At 48.0% G+C, this 20,365-nt stretch overlaps 1 protein-coding gene and 1 long non-coding RNA gene across 21 annotated transcripts in view, besides 3 other annotated features; one reads left to right on the top strand and one right to left on the bottom strand.

The window, feature by feature from the left end:
• SLC45A4 (solute carrier family 45 member 4) overlaps positions 1-20,365 on the top strand; it is a 101,115-nt gene that overhangs the window by 46,407 nt on the left and 34,343 nt on the right. For 17 of the 20 annotated variants that reach the window (NM_001286646.2, XM_011517171.3, XM_047422002.1 and 14 more), the window contains one exon: positions 7,253-7,893. The exons of the other annotated variants lie outside the window; for them this stretch is intronic. In NM_001286646.2, the coding sequence (NP_001273575.1) occupies positions 7,653-7,893 (241 nt within the window). In that variant the 5' untranslated portion in view covers positions 7,253-7,652. The remainder of the gene's footprint in view (positions 1-7,252; positions 7,894-20,365) is intronic. 20 annotated transcript variants of the gene reach the window in all.
• Positions 3,109-3,630: an enhancer, noted in NCBI's record as "H3K4me1 hESC enhancer chr8:142268351-142268872 (GRCh37/hg19 assembly coordinates)". NCBI's record gives its function as "activates a minimal SCP1, AML or CMV promoter by ChIP-STARR-seq in naive H9 embryonic stem cells {active_cell/tissue: H9 hESC(naive)}" and the evidence as "EXISTENCE:reporter gene assay evidence [ECO:0000049][PMID:30033119]".
• On the bottom strand, positions 5,065-7,315 carry SLC45A4-AS1 (SLC45A4 antisense RNA 1). Its single transcript, NR_161376.1, has 2 exons — positions 7,111-7,315; positions 5,065-5,441 (listed from the first exon to the last, which is right to left on the bottom strand). It is a non-coding gene; the product is annotated as an SLC45A4 antisense RNA 1 (long non-coding RNA).
• Positions 14,885-15,565: an enhancer, noted in NCBI's record as "H3K27ac-H3K4me1 hESC enhancer chr8:142256416-142257096 (GRCh37/hg19 assembly coordinates)". NCBI's record gives its function as "activates a minimal SCP1, AML or CMV promoter by ChIP-STARR-seq in naive H9 embryonic stem cells {active_cell/tissue: H9 hESC(naive)}" and the evidence as "EXISTENCE:reporter gene assay evidence [ECO:0000049][PMID:30033119]".
• Positions 16,432-16,601: an enhancer, noted in NCBI's record as "active region_28052". NCBI's record gives its function as "activates an Ori minimal core promoter by ATAC-STARR-seq in GM12878 lymphoblastoid cells {active_cell/tissue: GM12878}" and the evidence as "EXISTENCE:reporter gene assay evidence [ECO:0000049][PMID:35858748]".

Genomic DNA, 20,365 nt, shown 5'->3' with positions numbered 1-20,365 from the left:
ACTTTAAAGTAGTTTTTTCCAGTTATGTGAAGAAAGTCATTGGTAGCTTGATGGGGATGGCATTGAATCTATAAATTACCTTGGGCAGTGTGGCCATTTTCATGATATTGATTCTTCCTACCCATGAGCATGGAATGTTCTTCCATTTGTTTGTATCCTCTTTTATTTCATTGAGCAGTGGTTTGTAGTTCTCCTTGAAGAGGTCCTTCACATCCCTTGTAAGTTGGATTCCTAGGTATTTTATTCTCTTTGAAGCAATTATGAATGGGGGGTCACTCATGATTTGGCTCTCTGTTTGTCTGTTATTGGTGTATAAGAATGCTTGTGATTTTTCTACATTGATTTTGTATCCTGAGACTTTGCTGAAGTTGCTTATCAGCTTAAGGAGATTTTGGGCTGAGACGATGGGGTTTTCTAGATATACAATCATGTCATCTGCAAACAGGGACAATTTGACTTCCTCTTTTCCTAATTGAATACCCTTTATTTCCTTCTTCTGCCTAATTGCCCTGGCCAGAACTTCCAACACTATGTTGAATAGGAGTGGTGAGAGAGGGCATCCCTGTCTTGTGCCAGTTTTCAAAGGGAATGCTTCCAGTTTTTGCCCATTCAGTATGATATTGGCTGTGGGTCTGTCATAGATAGCTCTTATTTTGAGATACGTCCCATCAATACCTAATTTATTGAGAGCTTTTAGCATGAAGGGTTGTTGAATTTTGTCAAAGGCCTTTTCTGCGTCTATTGAGATAATCATGTGGTTTTTGTCTTTGGTTGTGTTTATACGCTGGATTACATTTATTGATTTGCGAGTGTTGAACCAGCCTTGCATCTCAGGGATGAAGCCCACTTGATCATGGTGGATAAGCTTTTTGATGTGCTGCTGGATTCGGTTTGCCAGTATTTTATTGAGGATTTTTGCATCAATGTTCATCAAGGATATTGGTCTAAAATTCTCTTTTTTGGTTCTGTCTCTGCCAGGCTTTGGTATCAGGATGATGCTGGCCTCATAAAATGAGTTAGGGAGGATTCCCTCTTTTTCTATTGATTGGAATAGTTTCAGAAGGAATGGTACCAGCTCCTCCTTGTACCTCTGGTAGAATTCGGTTGTGAATCCATCTGGTCCTGGACTTTTTTTGGTTGGTAAGCTATTGATTATTGCCACAATTTCGGAGCCTGTTATTGGTCTATTCAGAGATTCAACTTCTTCCTGATTTAGTCTTGGGAGGGTGTATGTGTCGAGGAATTTATCCATTTCTTCTAGATTTTCTAGTTTTAAACTTTATTTTTAAATTATTTTCTGACTTCCCCTAAAGTGCTTACAGAATCCCCAGGGCTTTGCAGAAATAAAATGTTTGGAAGCAGCAGCTGCACCAGGTGGCATCCTGCTGTGAGCTGTTGGGTGTTGTCTTCAAGATACTCACTTTAAAACTGGGTTAGTCCAATGGGTGCATATCTTTGAGGAAATTAAGGTTGGTTAACATGAGGTGATGTTGTTGTAGTGGTTAATTTAGCCTTGTTAAGATTACTGTTTGGACAGTTGCCTCAACTTTGCCTGCTCTTAGAAGCTCGGAAGCTTGCATTGGTGTTAACACCCTAGGTTGATAACATTCCTTGGATAAGTTCATGAAGGTATGAGACATTTGGTAGATTTTTGTACTTACTGCTACTTTAAACAAACTCAAGATGTCTAAAGATATTTGTTGTTTTCATCAATATAGATGCCAGTGAGGTCACCTGTGTAAAATCCGTGTACTGTGCCCCTGCCTCTGCCCTGCTTGAGGAAGGGAAGCCAGCTGTGTCCATGCGTAGACTACTTGCGTAACAGGTGACACCGGTGCCATGCTCATGCTGTTTCATGAGGACTTCAGGGACGCATAAGCCGGTGGCTGGTCACCCGGGGCACCTGGGCGTGACTTCAGCATAGCTGGTGGGGTGGGGAATGGTTTTCCAGTGCAGATACCCCATAGTAACTATCAGCTGATCAGCCTTATTCATTCATTCGCTTCATTTGTTCATTTAACAAATCTTGTCAAGCTCTTGCTGTGTGGCTGGAAACGGTGCATATGGAAGGGAAAGCCCAGGTTCAAGAAGCATGGACGTTGCCCATTGTGGACCGATGCTGGGAGATCTGGGGACAGATGAAAGCGGGGGATGAGGGTCTCTTGAGGGGGCTTCTCTCACTGCTTGGCAGGGTTTTGCCACCTACCAGTAGCTGTCATAATCCTTTGTGCAAGATGGGGATCACCCGTTCTAAAGGGGTCCAGTGAGCCCTGAGAAGAGTCTCTAAAAACAGGGTGGTTGAGCTGAAGGTGGGAAGGGCAAGAGGAGATGCACGGGAGGAGATGCAAGAGGAGATGCATGGGAAGGGCAAGGGAGATGCATGGCCGGTGGTGTGGGCAGAGCCAAGCTCAGGGGAGAGACGGAAGGGTGCAGGCTGGCGGAGAGGCAGCCTGCTCCGAAGGGTGATCCCTCGACCAATGGGCAGCACTGCCCAGGCATGGTTCTGGAGCTGGGGGGCCTGAGGTGGGGCCTGTGTGCACGGCTGAACGTGCAGCGCCATCACTGGCGGGCTGGGTCAGCAGTGTCCCAAGGCGTGAAGCCGTCTTGCTGGCCCCTCAGCCTGCTGAGCAGCGGTGTCTGGCGGCTTGCCCTGACCGTGGCCATGCGGATACTCTGGGAGTGTGGGCTAGATGCCTTTCCCACCCAGATGCTGGTCTCCCTCCTTTTCATCTTCTCTTTGGAAGGCCAACTTTACACCAGTTGTTAGAAGTTTGCTAGGAAAGCCCCAACATGTCAGAGGAACTCCAGTGAGGCAGCTGACTTTCCATGTCAAGGGAGCGCTCCTGCACCACTCTGTCCTTCTGTGGACTTGTGACTCTGTTACTAAGGACACAGGGCCTTTGCTCCCTGAGGGCTTAGTTTTTTGAAATCCTCAGCTATTCCCAGGTAAAAAGACATCTTGTTTTAGAGTCTGTTTTTTTTTTTTTTAAAAAAAAGAGGTCTCACTGTGTCTCGCAGACTGGAGTTCAATGGCATAATTGTAGCTTACTTCAGCCTTGAACTCCTGGGCTCAAACAATCCTTCTGCCTCAATCTCCTGAGTAGATGGGACTATAGGCACATACCATCACATCTGGCTAATTAAAAAATAATAATAATAATTATAGAGATGGAGTCTTGCTGTGTTGCCCAGGCTGGTCTTCAACTCCTGGGCTCAAGCGATCCTCCTGCCTCAGCCTCTGGAGTAGCTGGGATCACAGGTGTGCACCACCATGCTGTCTTTGAAAAACGGGTCTGACTGTTGCACAGGCTGAATGAGTCTTTAGCTGATCCCTGAGACCTTTTGGTGGCCATCCCTGTGGCCCCAAGGTTGGAGTCCATGCTCCATGTGAGAGGCCGATGGTTGCCTGGGGCTTTTCTCTGTGGCTCATCAGTGATTCTTATGCAACCTGCTCTTTGCAAACAAGGTGCTGAGAAATACCACTGGCTGGAGCGCAGCTGAGCTGCTTGGGAAAGGAATGGCCTGTAGCGTTGCCACCTACACTCCTGGCCTCGGGTCGTTTAAGTCAGGACTGGACAGTTTAGGTGGCACGGAGCAGAGTGAGGCTGGGGGGTGTGGGAGCCAAGCAGGGCTCCACCGTCGCCTTCTTTCCTGTTAGAGAGACTCTGGCGACTTCCTGACCCTAGGCCAGGCCGGAGGGCAGCAAACTGTGACCCAGGGGGCAGATCCAGCGCAGAGCTGGGATTTACAAGAATGACCAGCAAGCTAAGAATAGGTGTTGTGTTTTTAAAGGATTGTTAAAAAAAAAAAAAAAAAAAAAAGGAAGAAGAAACAAAAAAGGAGAATGTACAACAGAGACCATCTGTGGCCCGAAATCCCGGAAATGTTCATCATCCAGCTTTACAGAGAAAGCTTCAGTGTCTGGTCTTGTCGGTGGACTCGGAATGGAATAATCAAGGGGTGAAGCATTTTTAAAGAAAGCCGTTTTCCTATTTAGTAATAACCCTAGAACAGAGTGTCTCCCTCTGGTGCTGTTGACGTTCTGGGCCAGGGCCTTCTCTGCTGGAGGCTGTTCTGTGCACTGTGGTGAGTTGAAAGGCATCCCTGGCCTCCGCCTATAAGATGCCAGTACTGTCCCCTCCTCCCCCTGTTGTCGCAAGCAGAGATGTCTCACGTCATTGCCAAGTGTCCCTGGAGGGTGCAGAGTTGCCCCTGGCTGAGAATCACTACCTTAGAATAATTCATATATTACTTATTACAGACATTTATTGCCTAACTCTCAGCTCTTACTGGAACGACTCTTAGGAACAGAGACGGCTTCACTTCAGGCACAAGTCTCCGAGGACACTGTAATGGGACAAAGAGCCGATTGAGCAGGCATGAAGGGTCTGATGTTTATAATTAAGTCATTAGGATTTCTTAGAAAACTAATTGCTTTTGTTCCTGCCCAAAACCCAGCTGATGTTTTCAGTCTTTGCAGACATGTCTGGGTGTTACTTCTTCTCACAAAAATGACTCTTCTTACCTGGTGGAAGAAAGCAGTTAAAATCATTGACCCTATTCTGGTACAAGATTGACAGACTGAAAACAGGGAAAATCGTGAAATTTTCTGTTAGGAATGATTCCGAAAAGGTGGGGGCGGAACAAGAATAGCAGAATGTTGGTCCTTATTAAACCTGGGTGGTTTCTTACACTATTCTGTTTACTTTGCATATGTTAGAAATAGTTCTGGCTGGGTGTGGTGCCCCACGCTTGTAATCCCAGCACTTTGGGAGGCCGAAGCAGGTGGATCATGAGGTCAGGAGATCAAGACCATCCTGGCCAACATGGTGAAACCCTGTGTCTACTAAAAATACAAAAGTTAGCTGGGCGTGGTGGCATGTGCCTGTAATCCCAGCTACTCAGGAGGCTGAGGCGGGAGAATCGCTTGAAGCTGGGAGGCGGAGGTTGCAGTGAGCCGAGATCACACCACTGCACTCCAGCCTGGGCAACAGAGCGAGACTGTCTCAAAAAAAAAAAAAAGTTTCATTACACAGTTTTTTGAAAAAATATTGCAGTAAGGTGACAGTTTGGAAACTCTTGTTTTAATTGAGATGTTTCTACGGTAGAGGACATTTGGAAAACTTGAAAGAATTCTCGAGGGCTGTCGTGTGGAATCGTAGCGACGTTCAGGGGACGTAAGAAGCAAATACATAGGTAGCACCACTTGAACCTTTGGTTCTTAAGGAATTAGTAGGCATTCTGGTTTCCGCTGCAGCGTGAAAGAAGATGTAGGGAAGAGCTGGGACGTAAGAGCCAGGCGCACGGCTTCCTTCCAGAACCTCCTGTACAGCGGAGTCTTCTCCCTCCTGGGGCCCACGTGCCAGGGACCCACCTTCTCCATCAGGGCTGTGTGAGAGAGGAGCCGAGTGAAGACAGCACCTCGAGGTTTCTGGTCTCCTCTGGGGAGAAAGAGAGGAGGAGCTAATTAAGACCACCTTTGGTTCGGTGGAAAGTAATGAGAAATATTTTTGTTGAAACCAGTTGTTGGAAAAATTCTCAGTAAGGTATTGGCCCATAGACCTACCTTAATATAAACTGTGAACACCATTTAGGTGTGTTTTTAGGGGCTCTAACACTTCAGTTGAACCGAACCCCATGTCTGGAGACCTAACTCCAGAAGTCCTGAACTTGGGGTGTTCCACATCCCCGATCTTATCTTACCTGAGGAGAGATTGACCTCATTTCCTAAAACATTTCCAAGGTGGCATTTCCAGTTAGCTTATTGCTGCTTTATTGTATGTGTTTGCCCAGGTGGGGAATTTGTCACCAAGCTGGGTTTGTCACTGGAGGCAGGGTGGTGGAAAGCCGAGGGTTGGGGTGATAGGGTTCCGTAGACCCTGGGAAAGCTGCGTGTGGGTTGGGAGTCTCCGAACCCCTAGGTACTATAGTCAGAGTTTGGCACATGCGTACATTTTTTTCTGGAGAAAAGGTCTATAATTTCATTTTATTCCCAAGAGGTTTTATAACCTAAAGGCCAATACCACAGGAGTCCAGGTGCCTTTGGGTAGACTTCGAACTCCCCCCGGACAGAGAATCATGCTATGCTCATTCCACCCAGCCTCCTACTTTTCATTTTTCTTTTCTTTTTGTTTTTTTTGTTTGTTTGTTTTTGTTTTTGTTTTTTGAGACAGGGTCTCACTCTGTTGCCCAGGCTGGAGTGCAGTGGTGCGATCTCAGCTTACTGCAACTTCCACCTCCCGGGTTCAAGTGATTCTCCTGCCTCACCCTCCTGAGTAGCTGGTATTACAGGCGCCCGCCACCATGCCTGGCTAATTTTTGTATTTTTAGTAGAGATGGGCTTTCGCCATGTTGCCCAAGCAGGTCTTGAACTCCTAATCTCAGGTGATCCACCTGCTTCAGCCCCCCAATGTGCTGGGATTACAGACTTAAGCCACCGTGCCCAGCTGCTTTTTATTTTTAATTTCCACCTCTCCAGGCAGGGTCTACAGTTTCCCTTTTTGGCTGGGCACGGTGGCTCACACTTGTAAATCCTAGTGCTTTGGGAGGCCGAGGCAGGGTAGATCGCTTGAGCCCAGGAGTTGGATACCAGCCAGGTCAATGTAATGGGGACCCTAGAAAAATTAGCTGGGTGTAGTGGTGCATGCCTGTAGTCGCAGCTACTCGGGAGGATGAGGTGGGAGATCACTTGATTCCAGGAGTTTGAGGCTGCAGAGAGCCATGGTCGTGTGACCGCACTCCAGCCTGGGCAACGGAGCGAGACCTTGTCACTAACAAATTAAACTTTTTTAAACAAAAGTTTTCCCTTTTGATTCTCTTTTGCCTACCTCCCCCACTTTTCCCTTCACCTCCTTACTTCCCTTTCATGATATCTGCAGCCACAAAGGGTGTCGCCAGCTGCCTCCAGCCTGCTGGAATAGTTACGTGCTGTGGTACACAGGGTGGACGATATTGTTACTGGCCAAAGAGTGAATATTTCCAGCGTTTTTCTCTGTCTGTTCTTTGATCCTGCTTTCCTTGATTGCCCCACCTTTGTCCTTCCCCAGGATTCACTTTCGTATGAGAAAATGTTTTTCTAGAAAGTAGGTTTGGTTATTTGCACAGACGTACCCAGAGTGAGTGGCAGAGAGCTGTGTGATCTTGGGTCGGGCCCTCGGGGCACACGGCTTGCTCGGGGGTCGGGCGGCGGTCCACAGGGCCATCTGGTGGCCGTCCCCTGACTCTCTGGCCGGGTTGTTTTCCTCTTTTGCAGATCATCCAGTCACTCGATGGGGATTACCAGCGGACCACCTGTTTGTATCACCTTCCCACCTCTCTGTAGCAAGAAAAATCACTTCAGCACCTCTTCAGTAATAATGATGAAACTGGTATTAACTGAATGGCAATTATGGATTTTTAACTCTAATTCACAGTAAACCAGCAAGCCATATGTTTAAAATCCAACCAAAAATCGTTCTGTGTTGCTGCATGTCTCATACCGTTGTGAGAAGTTGTGAGATAGCCACTTGTGCAAAGAGGAATGTAAGTGTTACCTGCCCGAGGAACACAGCAGAAGCAGAAAGAGAAGACGTCTTAATTTATCATTACAGATATATGAAAGCATTATTTATATAGATAGAATATATAGATAAATACATATATTTTTGGTGGTAATGAAAATGGCTCCGCAGAATGCCGACCCGGAATCTATGCAAGTTCAAGAGTTATCCGTGCCCCTGCCGGACCCGCAGAAAGCCGGAGGCGCAGAGGCCGAGAACTGCGAGACCATCAGCGAGGGGTCCATAGACCGAATCCCCATGCGCCTGTGGGTGATGCACGGGGCGGTGATGTTTGGCAGGGAGTTCTGTTACGCCATGGAAACCGCTCTGGTCACACCAATACTGTTGCAGATTGGTAAGTCTCCTCCCCGTCTGTGCGCAGTGAACGCTGAGCGGAGTGCTAGCGGACTGGGCGTGGCTCTGATCCTCTGGAGGCAGAGGATGGTGCGTCCTGGAGAGCCCCGGGCACTGGAGTCTTTGTCTCCTCTCCCTTCAGCCTGCCCTGATGGTGGTTTTCGTCTCCTGTTTTCAGCCAGGTTTGGGGAGGAGTGATCTTCGGATGTTGACGTTGAATTACAGTTTTGGCAAAGTGGTAGCTCAGCATCTGGGGCAGAATTGGCACTGATAAGTACTGGCTCTCGGCCGGGGCTCACCTCTCCCGCTGTCCCTGCCAGGCCACAGTGAACAACGAGGCAAAGGGCAGGGTCGCCAGCACTGACAGTCACTGGCTGTGTCATGCAGGCGAATTCGGGAGCCCTTCTGTGCCACACTCTGATTCTTTGTGTGTAAAGTGATTGCATTCGCAAACCAACCCTAAGAGGGTCCCAGGTGTGCTTAGAACAGTGCCTGGCTGTGGGAGATACTGGAAGATGCTGTCATCTTATCATTGTTGCTGTTGACTTGAATCCAAGGTTATTGTGGACAGTAGATGGCTCAGAGACAGGCATTTCCAAAAGCATGGAAATTCACAGGCACGCACAGGTGGGCATGAAAACACGGAAAATCACAGACGCACAGGTGGGCATGAAAACACAGAAATTCACAGACACACGCAGGTGGGCATGAAAACACGGAAATTCACAGACACACAGGTGGGCATGAAAACACGGAAATTCACAGACACGCAGGTGGGCATGAAAACACGGAAATTCACAGACCCGCAGGTGGGCATGAAAACACGGAAATTCATAGACTTGCAGGTGGGCGTGAAAACACGGAAATTCACAGACACTCGCAGGTGGGCGTGAAAACACGGAAATTCACAGACACTCGCAGGTGGGCGTGAAAACACGGAAATTCACAGACACAGGTGGGTGTGAAAACACGGAAATTCACAGACGCACAGGTGGGTGTGAAAACACGGAAATTCGCGGACACGCACAGGTGGGCGTGAAAACACGGAAATTCACAGACACGCAGGTGGGCATGAAAACACGAAAATTCACAGACACACAGGTGGATATGAAAACAGAAATTCACAGACACGGGCAGGTGGGCATGAAAACACGGAAATTCACAGACACGCAGGTGGGCGTGAAAACACGGAAATTCACAGACGCACAGGTGGGCGTGAAAACGGAAATTCACAGACGCAGGTGGGCATGAAAACACGGAAATTCACAGACACGCAGGTGGGCGTGAAAACACGGAAATTCACAGACGCACAGGTGGGCGTGAAAACGGAAATTCACAGACGCAGGTGGGCATGAAAACACGGAAATTCACAGATGCACAGGTGGGCATGAAAACACGGAAATTCACAGACACTCGCAGGTGGGCGTGAAAACACGGAAATTCACAGACGCACAGGTGGGCGTGAAAACACGGAAATTCACAGACGCACAGGTGGGCGTGAAAACACGGAAATTCACAGACGCACAGGTGGGCGTGAAAACATGGAAATTCACAGACACGCAGGTGGGCGTGAAAACACGGAAATTCACAGACGCGCAGGTGGGCGTGAAAACACGGAAATTAACAGAGACGCACAGGTTGGCATGACCAGGCTCGCATGGGCAAGATGTGGTGTCTCTTCCAGATTACCGGGCAGCAGAGCGGGGACCCTGTAGGGAGTCCCCACTGGGAGTGTCTTGGGCCCTAAAAATTTTGTCAGAATGTTTATTTTCTTTATGACCTAAGGAAGTTTTAAAAAAATCTGTCATTTTCCAAACCCTTAGCAATATAAGGTATCTGGTAAGAGGCAGACAGTTTAGAAGCATCCGTTTTATTCTAGAATTCAACATATTGCATGGTAAAGTATTTTCAAGCCTACTTATTTTGGTTGTTTTAGGGATGTTTGTTGATACAAACATAATAAAGTGTTTCTTGTTCCGTGAGCGCTCACTCAGCCTCGCTGCAGTGCGGATCCCTCGGTTATGTGCACGGATCTGACTCCAGTGTGAAATCGTAGCATTTTCTTTGATTGTGTGTGGGGCAGCCCCGCTGGCATCAGCACTGATTTCCTGTCACCCTGCCGTGGGAGCTGATGCTGATTATTACCAAAATCACAGGAGATACTGTGTCCATCCCTCGATCTTGTCACTTAATACATTAATGAAAAAGCACTCATCTTACTTTTCCAGTGCTTCCATGATTGTATTTCAGCGTGCTTTTCCGTCTGCAATCCTGTGTCTTTTTTCATCTTTAAAAACCTTGTTTTGAGAAGGCTTCATGAGAAGGCCAGAGGACCTGGGGCTCAGACAAGGTTAGAGGACTCTTCTGGAGGGTCGGGGGCTCGGACGTAGGAGACCGGGCGCAGCTCGCACTCTTGTTCTCTCCTCTGTGTGTGATTCTGCATTTATTCTGCTTGTGCTCCTTGGGTGCCTATCATATCCTAGGGCACGGAGGGTGGACAGAACCCACATCTGTGGGCCAGGGGGCTTAGCTCTGTGGCAGGGGGGGCGCTTCGAGAAAGAAAGTGACCCGACCAGCGAGGGAAAGAAATGGGCTGGACCAGTGTGGGAAGGCCTTCATGGAGAGCAGGGCAAGGGCTCTTGGGCATCACATCCAGAGGCTGAGGGAGGGGAGACCTGGCTGTGTTCGTGGAACTGAAGAACCACTTTCGCGACTAGACCTTAGCCAGGGGGAAGTTGGGTAGCAGTTAATTTTACTAAACATTTATTTCGTCCCTTCAGTATGTGAGGACTTGGCACCGAGCTAATCATGAAAGCACTGTCATAACAAAGCTGAGGCGCTTGGAATTACCAATTGGGCACCATCCTTCAGTTTCTGGACAACGAGTTGTGGTCGTGGTGACAAATACAAAATTTAGAACCTCCGGTTCCTGAGAATAAGTTGATGTGATAAAGAGTCATTAGGAACTGCTTTTCCCTAATTTTCTCTATGGCAGATGATGTGTATTGTGGCTTTGAAAACCCTAATACTTCCACAACACCTTGGAATTTTCATACTTTATAGATGGTGAGTCTCAATTTCTATGCACGTTTCATTGTTTTGTTTTGATTATTTATTACATAAGACTTGTATAGATTTTAGATAATTTAGGAGGACAAATACAGATGCTCCTCAACTTGCAACGGGGGTATGTCCCAGTAAACCCATCGTTGAAAATACCTTGAGTCGAAAATGGATTTAACACACCTACCGCACCGCACGTCATAGTCCAGCCTCACCTTCCTTAACCATGCCCAGAACACTCACATCAGGCTGGGCACTCTGGCTCATGCCTATAATCCCAACACTTTGGGAGGCCCAGGTGGGAGGATCACTTGAGCCCAGGAGTTCCAGCTAGGGCAACATAGTGAAACTCCGTGTCTACAAAAAATAAAAAATTAGCTGGATGTGGTGGTGCACACCTGTAATCACAGCTATTTGGGAGGCTGAGGTGGGAGGATTGCTTGCGCCTGGGAGATGGAGGCTGCAGTGAGCCATGATCATCCAGCCTGAATACAGAGTAAGACACTGTCTCAAAAAAAAAAAAAACCACTCACACCAGCCTATAGTTGGGCAAAATCATGTAACACAGAGCCTATTTTATATAATAAAGTGTTGAAGATCTTGTGTAATTTATTGAATACTGTACTCAAAGTGAAAACCAGTGTGTATGAGGACTCAAGATATGGTTTCAAGTGAATGTGTATGGCTTTCACGTTAGTGTGAAGTTGAACAATCATAGGTCCCACCATCATAAGCCCAGGACCTGTCTGCGTATGTACTTTACTACACAATATATGTAGTGCATATTGAAGGTCGCTTTCCAAAGTTGTAGGGGTGTCTGTTCCATAGATTCCATATAAACCTCCAGAAATGCTGACTGAAATGGGGAGAGTTGTAGTAAGTGGTTAGGCTGTGGCAAACTGACCCTCACCAGATGAAAGTAACCTTTATTGACCCTGAGCATTACAGAGTTCACGTAAAACTGTAAGCCCTGGTCTGTGTTCAGCAGGAGAGCAGGAATCATGAATAGAAGGTATTTTTACAGGTTATAGGAACAGGGCTTTAATGAGTTTGTTCTTAGACGTGCTTAGATTGAGTCCAGACAACAAAAGGCCCAATTTATTTCTCAGAGTTTGACTGAAATGACACTTACAAGGGCAACGTAGTGACCAAAGTTTTCCCTGATCGGAGTTGGAGTTTCTTTCAAAAGTTGTCTGCTGTCCATACCCAGAGCCACAGTGCTTATGATTGGATTTGGAAATACTGTTACCTTCACTCCGGGCAGTTTGACAGTTGGCATGAGATGTCCACAGTGGTGTGGCTGCCACCATTAGGACCTAGAATATTTTCATCACCCCAGTGCTCCCAAATGCCCCCCACATCAGCCCCCGCTGCCCCCAGCCACCACCAGCCTGCCTCTGTTGTCATGGTGCTGCCTGTTCGGGAATTGATGTAACTGGAATCACACAGCGTATGGTCTGGCTCTTGTCACTTAGCATAATGCTTTTCTGATTCATCCCCGTTACTGCATGAATCAGTACTTTCTTTGCTCCTTTTCTGTGCTGACTAGTACTCCACTGAATGGACCTGCCATCATTTGTTTTCATTCATCAGGTGGTAGAGATTTGGGTGGTTTCCATTTTGGAGGCTGTGATAATAAAGCTGCTGTGAACATTCACCTGCAAGGCTCTGTGTGGATGTGTTTCATTTCTCATGAGTGGTTCACTGGGAGTGGCTTGCTGGGTCCAGTGCTTTCCAGGGTGACGGTACCATCTTGCATTCCCACTGCAGCGTAGGACAGTTCCCATTTCTCCACATCGTCGTCAATGTTTAGTGTTGTCAGTCCTTTTCAACTTCATTCATCGAAGTGGGTGTGAACCATATCTCATTGCAGCTTTAATTTGCATGTCTTTTTTTTTTTTTTTTTTTTAAGATGGGGTCTCACTCTGTCACCCAGGCTGGAGTGCCACAGCACTATCACAACTTACTGCAGCCATGACCTCCCTGGGCTCAGCTGATTCTCCCACCTCAGCCTCCCAGGTAGCTGGGACTACAGGTGTGCACCACCACGCCCATCTAATTTTTGTATTTTTTGTAGAGATGGGGTTTCACCGTATGTTGCCCAGGCTGGTTTCGAACTTCTGGGCTCAAGCCATCTGCCCACCTCAGCCTCGCCAAGTGCTGTAATTACAGATGTGAGCTACAGGCCTAGCCTGTTTTGTTTTTTTATATATTCTTACACTTTATTGAGACGAGGTTTTGCTATGTCACCCAGGCCAGTCTTGAACTCTTGGGCTTAAGTGATCCTCTTACCTTGGTCTCCCAAAGTGCTAGGATTACAGGCATGAGCCACTTTTATTTATTTATTATTATTTTTTTTTTTAAACAGGGACTCTGTTTCCCAGGCTGAAATGCAGTGGTGTGATCACAGCTCTCTGCAGCCTCAACCTTCCTGGGCTCAAGTGATCCTCCCGCCTCAGCCTCCTGAGTAGCTTGGACTGTAGGTACGCACCACCACACCTAGCTAATATTTTAAATTTTTTAGGGAGATGGAGTCTCACTATGTTGCCCTGGCTGGTCTAGAACTCCAGGGCTCAAGTGATCCTCCTGCCTGAGTCCCAGAGTGCTGGGGCTATAGGCGTGAGCCACTGTGCCAGGTTCCTTTCCATTTTCCTAATGGTATCTTTCAGAAAGCAAAAGTTTTAAATTTTGATGAAATTTGGTGTATCAAATATGTTCTTTTTTGTTCTTTTTCAATTAAGAACTCTTTGCCTGACCTGAAGTCTTTTTTAAGAGCTGGAGGTCTCACTGCATTGCCTGGGCTGGAGTGTAGTACTGTGATCGTGGCTCACTGCAGCTTCAACTCCTGGGCCTGAAGTCTTAATGATTTTCCCTTATGTTTCCTTCTAGATGCCTCAGTAGTTCTCTCACCTAGGTCTGTGATCCATTTTGAGTGAATTTTTGTATACCGTAAGAGTTGAGGGATTCCCCCTCCATCTGGCACGTGGAAATTGAGTTGTTCCAGCATCACTTGTAAAAAGCCTGTCCTTTCCCATTGAAATCCATGGCACCTCTGTTGGCATTTACTGGCTACCTATATTGTGAATCTGTTTCTAGGCACTATTCTGTTCCATTGATCTATATGTCTGTTCCTGATACAACGATTGATTGATTTCTGTAGTTTTATGGGGCATCTCGAAATTAGGAAATATGCCTACCTTTTGGAACTTGTTTTGGGCCAGGCGTAGTGACTCACACCTGTAATCCCAGCACTTTGGGAAGCCAAGGCGGGAAGATTGCTTGAACTCAGGCGTTCGAGACCATCCTAGGCAACACAGCAAGACCTCGTTTCTAAAAAAGAAAAAGAAAACTTGTTTTGGCTGTTGCAGTTCTTTCACATCTCCATATAAATTTTAGAGTTATCAATTTCTACAAAAAGCCTGCTGGATTTTTACTGGAATTGCATTGAATCTATAGAGAATTGACATCTTAATTTCGAGTCCTTCGATCCATGAACATAATATATCTTCTCAACACACTTAAGTCTTTAATTTCTCCTAGGAATGTTTCATAATTTTTAGTATGTAGGTCCGTCACATACTTAAAGTATTTCATTGTTATCATGTTATTGTAAATAGCACTGCTTTAATTTCCATTTCTGGTTGTTCATCGTTCTATAGAGTAGTATAAGTGATTTTTATATATTGACCTTATACCTTGCAATTTTGCCAAACTCACTTAGTAGTTCCAGTAACTTTTAATTGTAAGACCTGTATTGATGTTCCTTCTTTCCTGATATTGGTAATTTGATCAGCCTGGTTAAAGGTTTATCAATTTTGTTGGTCTTTTCAAAGACTATGCTTTCAGCTTCATTCGGTTTTTTCCTCTGTTGTTTATTTTCTATTTTGTTAATTTATGCTCTTATATTCATTTTGTTTTCTTCTGCTTACTTGGTTTTAATTTGCTCTTTTTCTAGTTTATTATTTTTCTATTATTAGATGGTGTCTCACTGTGTTGCCCAGGCTGGCTGGACTGAAACTCCTGGGCTCAAGCAATCCTCCTGCCTCAGCCTCCTGAGTAGCTGGGATTGCAGGTGTGCACCACCACAACTGGCTACTTCTTCTAGTTTCTTAAGGTGAAGCTTATAGCATTGGTTTTTTTATATTTTTCTTTCCTAATAAAATCATTTATTAGAAATGGTTTCATTTCTAATAAATTTGCTGTTACACAGAGGGGTCAGGGAGGAGTATAAAGAGGCTCTAAGAGACCCCTGAGATACCCTCTGTGTGACCCCGTGACCTTCACCCCTTGGCTTTCACGGCCTTGTGCAATGCCCTCCCCTTGAGTAATTCCTGTTAACCAATAGAATATGGCAGCATCGAGGGGATGTCGCCTGACGCAAACGTGTGACTCCACCTTGCTGGGAGACCCTCTCTGTTGCTGCCTTGGCCTGCACATCTTGATGAATCAAGCTGCCTTCTTGGAAAGACCCATATGGCAAATAACTGAGCAGGAGGCCTCAGCCAACACCCCCAGGGCCGAGGCTCTCAGTCCAGGAGCCTGTGAGAGGCCCCAAACCAGAGCCACCCCGCAGAGCTGTGCCTGAATTCCCGGCCGCAGGAGGTATGTGGCCGTCACTGTTGCTCGGTGCCGCTGGGTGGTGTGCAGTTTGTTACGCAGCAGCAGGAAACCAGTACACGTGCTCAGAATATTCTGTTTGTCAGACTCTTTGCACTGCTTCCCCCTGTATAACTTTGGGTACATTGGAATTTTTCCCGTTGTCTCAATCCTCATCTTGGTAGAAGGGGTACGAAGGTACTACAGAAGCAGCATGTTTGTATTGATAAATATCGCAGCAGAAACCTTAGATTGTAACTCGTTTTGAAATATCAAGCAATAGCAAGTCTGCCCTTTCTCTCTTCCCCAAAGAAAACTTTCCCTTTGAAAATCAGCAAACTGGAAGCTGTGAGAAGCAAATTAGCTCAGTCTCTGCCATCATCAGCATCAGTAGAGGAGTTGTTTGGAATCTAGGAGCAGCCAGCTAATGCCCGTGTGTGTGAGGTGGCCCTTGATGGCAGTTTCCTAAAGCAATTCAGCCTGCACCATCCTTAGCCCAGGCAGTGTGCTATCTTCTTCAGAAGTTAGTGGTGACACTGCCTGCGATGCTGCTGGCAGACAGTGCTGCTGCCCCTGGGAGGCCCCTCCCTTCCCCCTGCCCTTGACTCCTGGGCCTAAGGCTGGTCTGGGGTTGGGACACGCTGAGGGTCTGTGAGTCCCATCTAGCTCTAAGAGTCCAGCCTCCTCTGAGCGGCAGGTTGGGAGTTGTCTGCCATCAGGTGACTTTGGTGTGCTTATGATGCTGAGACCAGATTTTGGGGTCTCCTGGGAGTCCCTGATGCTCTGGGATTCTGCTGGCTGCCCCCCGGGTCAGCCCTGGGGGAGGCAAGCAGTAAAGGGGGCTCTGGGAACCCTGGACAGAAGACGTGATGGAGCGGAAGGCCCATTGTTCGTTGAGTGATGAATTAACACTTTCCTTTATGATGATGATTCAAGTCCTGTTTCTGGTTTCTCTTTCATTTCCATTATTTGCTCAAGTGACAGAGATTTCCTGTCCCTCCTCGAAACGGTGGTGGTGGAGGTAGCAGCAGCCAGCAACCCAATGTTGGCTCCTCTTGGAGAATCCAAAAATCGACCATGTTCCAAGTGTGTAGCCTTACTTATCTCAGCAGATACCAGCATCTCCTTTCTTCTGGAAACGTGTGCAGAGTTGACACATATGATGTGCTTAGAACAGAGCCTGTAATTGTTAGCTGTTATTACTGTCATTATCTTTTTCTCCACTTGGGTTCGTAGTCAGCAGCCTTGGTGGTAACTTGTCGAGGGCCTGCCTCACACTTACTGTGGAAAAGTCACTCAGTGGGGCAGTTTGCACCTCATTCATTGCACCCCACTCTAGCCCAGCCTCCACCTCCACACCGCCCCCCCCCCCCACCCACGTCTTCTTGCTGAATGCGCAGGGATGTCCTCATTTCCAAACTCAGAGGTTTTCTGGGCCCTGGTGCTGGCCCTGTCTCCCATCGCACAGGGCTGAGTGGGCCTGGTTTCCGGCTCTGCCCTCCCTCACTCTTGTCCTGTGTGTGTCCCGTCCTGAGCCCCGTCGGTGTCACACTGGACAACTCCAGGGTCTGTCACATTCAGTATGTTTGAGAGAGCAGTGCTTTCGAAAATGGTGGCATCTTGGATTTGATGAAATACAGCCCATCTCCAGGCCAGACTTGTCTCTGCAGCTGTTTACTGCTCACATCCGCCTGGCCTGGCCCCTCTGCATGCTCCCACTCAACGCACTCCACAGTGTGTGCATCTCTTCAGTGTTCACATGTGCTCCAGGACCCCCTGCAGCCCTGTCTTTCCACCCGTTGTTCCTGAAGGTTGCCCTCTCCCTCCTAGACTGTGCATCCCCTAAGGACAAGGTCCAACTCACCTTTGTTCCCATGCCCAGTGTGGAACAAAGACTTGCAGGACTGAACGAGTGACTTGCTGATGAAGGAGAAATTGACCTGCCTTGGATGCCTCATATGGCCACATGCTCCTGTCCCAGGTCAGAAGCTGATGTATTACATTCCGGAGGAGGCTGGAGGCTACTCTGCCTCCGGCCCAGGCATGGGCTGGACTCCATCTGGAGCTGCTCGCTTGGAGGAGGCACAGGGGAACCTCCTGCAGGCAGGGCAGGGAAGAGGCCTTTCAAACCCAGGTGTTACCAGTCAGCACTGTGCCCGAGACAGAACCTCCTGTGACCTCAGGACAGGCGGAGCGCACCATGAAGAATAGGGGCGCAGTCTCCCAAGTAGCCGAGTTGATTGGGAGGGCAGTTGGGTATACAGCTGACCCTTGAGCAGCTCAGGTTAGGGGTGCCAACTCCCCATACAGTCAAAAATCCATGTGTAGCTTTTGACTCCCCCTAAAACCTGACTACCAACAGCTTCCTGACTGGAAGCCTTACCAATAATATAAGCAGTCAGTTGACACATACCTTCTATATTATATGTATTATATGTTTATAGTAAAGTAACCTGAAGAAAACATAGCTAAGAAAATTATTAAGAAGAGAAATGTATTTCCTATTCATTATGTGGAAGTGGACCGTCATAAAGGCCTTCATCCTCATCTTCATGTTGAGTAGGCTGAGGAGGATCAGGAGCGGGGGTCTTGCTGTCTCGGGTGGCAGAAGCGGAAGAAAATCTGTGTAAATGGACGGTACAGTTCAAACCCACGTTGTTCAAGGGTCAACTGTATTTTAATTTATTTTTGAGACAGGGTCTCTGTCGCCCAGGCTGGAGCACAGTGGTGCGATTACGGCTCACTGCAGCCTTGACCTCCTAGGCTCAAGCCATCCTCCTGCCTCAGCCTCCCAAAGTGCTGAGATGATAGGTGTGAGCCACTGCACCCGGCCTGTATTTAAATCTTGAAAGGTTTTTGGCAAATGTCATTTCAGGTTTAGTATGGTTGATGGCAAGTGGTTTTGTTTTTCTGACAGCGGAAGGAACGGCTTTTCCTGTTCTTAAAAAGCCTTTCTAGTTTGTGGGAATGAGAGCGCCATTGACACAGATGCCACTGCGCTTCGTGCTTGCTGCGGCGGGGGGCACCTGGCGGAGCTGCTCTCGGTCACATCCCCACACCGCTGTGTAGGCTTGCTCAAACCTTGCCCTCCCTCCGACATTGGAGGACCTGCTGAGCCACATGCAGTGTCTTGGGACACAGAAGGCAGACATGGGGTCCCCCTGACTTTCTGGTGGCCCGGTGGGGAGGACAGTCATGGAAACAGGTTGCTGCAAGGTGGTGCTCAGAGGGGGACTGACAGTGTGTGGAGGGACCCCGGAGCAGGAGTAATACTCCCAACTCTAGCAGGTTTTTCTGTGGCTCCCAGCAAAGTCTTGGAGGTGGAGCTCTCTGTCACCACCCGGTAGATGGGTCCTCGCCCTGCCGGCTCCCCGCTGCACACGGGCTGGCTTAGGTTTGAAAATCCCGTCGCCTCTTGTGAGAGATTCTATAGCCTCCTACCACATTGCGTGGCCTGGGATACACATTCAGGTCCACATTCAGCTTCCCGCGGTGTTTGTATAAACCCAGGATGGTGGTAGATGGGCTCCCCCAACGTGTGGCCTCCAGTCTCGGGCCTGTGCATTGAGGTGCTCGTGGAAGACAGTATCTGCCGGCTCTCTTCCCAGCAGCCTGTGAGTGAGAGCAGGGAGTGGCAAGCTGCCTAATGGAGGAGTTTGACTCAGCGACTTGTCCAGGGTCAGTGTTGGGCTTGTTATCTGGGGCACTCACCGATGTACCACGGGAGCTGCAGCAAGCTACGAACTGAGCAACTTTGTATTCTCATGAGACCCTCAGGCTCTTTTCCCAGCACTGTCTCGCCCGTTCTTGATAATGGGGGAGTATGGTGTTCTTTCTGATACTGGAGCCCGCGTTTCTAATCACAGCACTTCCCCCACTGGTCTAAACATCCTCTGTGGGAAAACAATGTAGAATTGTCACAGCCAGGAGCCACGTTCATTCCCGCTGTGGAAGTCACTTGGGCCTGGCCTATTAGATACCTAGGTTTAAGAAATTTAAAAATCACGGTGATTCCAGTACTTATTTTATTTCTTAAATTCTATCTGTCACATGAGCTGGATTATTTAGAAGACTCTGGGCCTTTTGATCATCGTCCTGGTCATCACTCTTAGCTGTGGAGGATTTTGTTTTTCTTTCACGGTGAAGTTTGAGTCTGTGGGTTTTTATTTTCAGTTGCCAGTTGTTCCCTGTGATCTCGGCTAAATGTGCGTATAATGATGGCCACACTTGGCGGGATGCGCCTCTCTTTTCATCTCATCTGTGCAGGGAGCTTGAGGATAGGCTCCCAGCCATGAGGAGGGCTGCCTGCTCTTTTCTGTCTGACCTGGAGATTCGGGCTGTCCCGCTGTCCGTGCGAAGGCCACCATACACTCCCTTGTCTTGTCCCTGTATGCACCATGCCTTCACAGCTGCCATCTGTGTCCCGGCAGGAATGGCCCTGCCCCCACTTCTGCCTGGCCAGGATGGGACCTGAATCCTTGATTCCACACAGCCACGTCCTTTTCTGAAGGCGCTCTAGAGCAGAAGCAGTGGTCCCTCCTAGTGCTGGGGGGATTGCTGGGCTCCCAGGCCTGGGAGGAAAGGCTTGGAGGCAGTGGGGGTGCCCAGACCTCTGGCTGGCTGTGAAGGGAGAGACAGCCCACCTGTCCCCAGAGGACCCTGTCAGCACCATCCCCTGAGCAGGTCCTGCCCCACAGAGCCAGCCCACCAGCGGTTCCCAGACCTGACTCAAAAGGGAAGCTGTTTTTCTTTTTTTTTTCTTTGACTGTATTGTAATGGATGCAAAGGCACTGTTTTTAAAATATGAATTCTAC

Source organism: Homo sapiens, chromosome 8 (genome assembly GCF_000001405.40).
Source record: "Homo sapiens chromosome 8, GRCh38.p14 Primary Assembly".
NCBI classification, from domain to species: Eukaryota; Metazoa; Chordata; class Mammalia; order Primates; family Hominidae; genus Homo; species Homo sapiens.
Note: the sequence above shows the minus strand (reverse complement) of the source record. Positions and strands in the feature narration are given on the sequence as shown.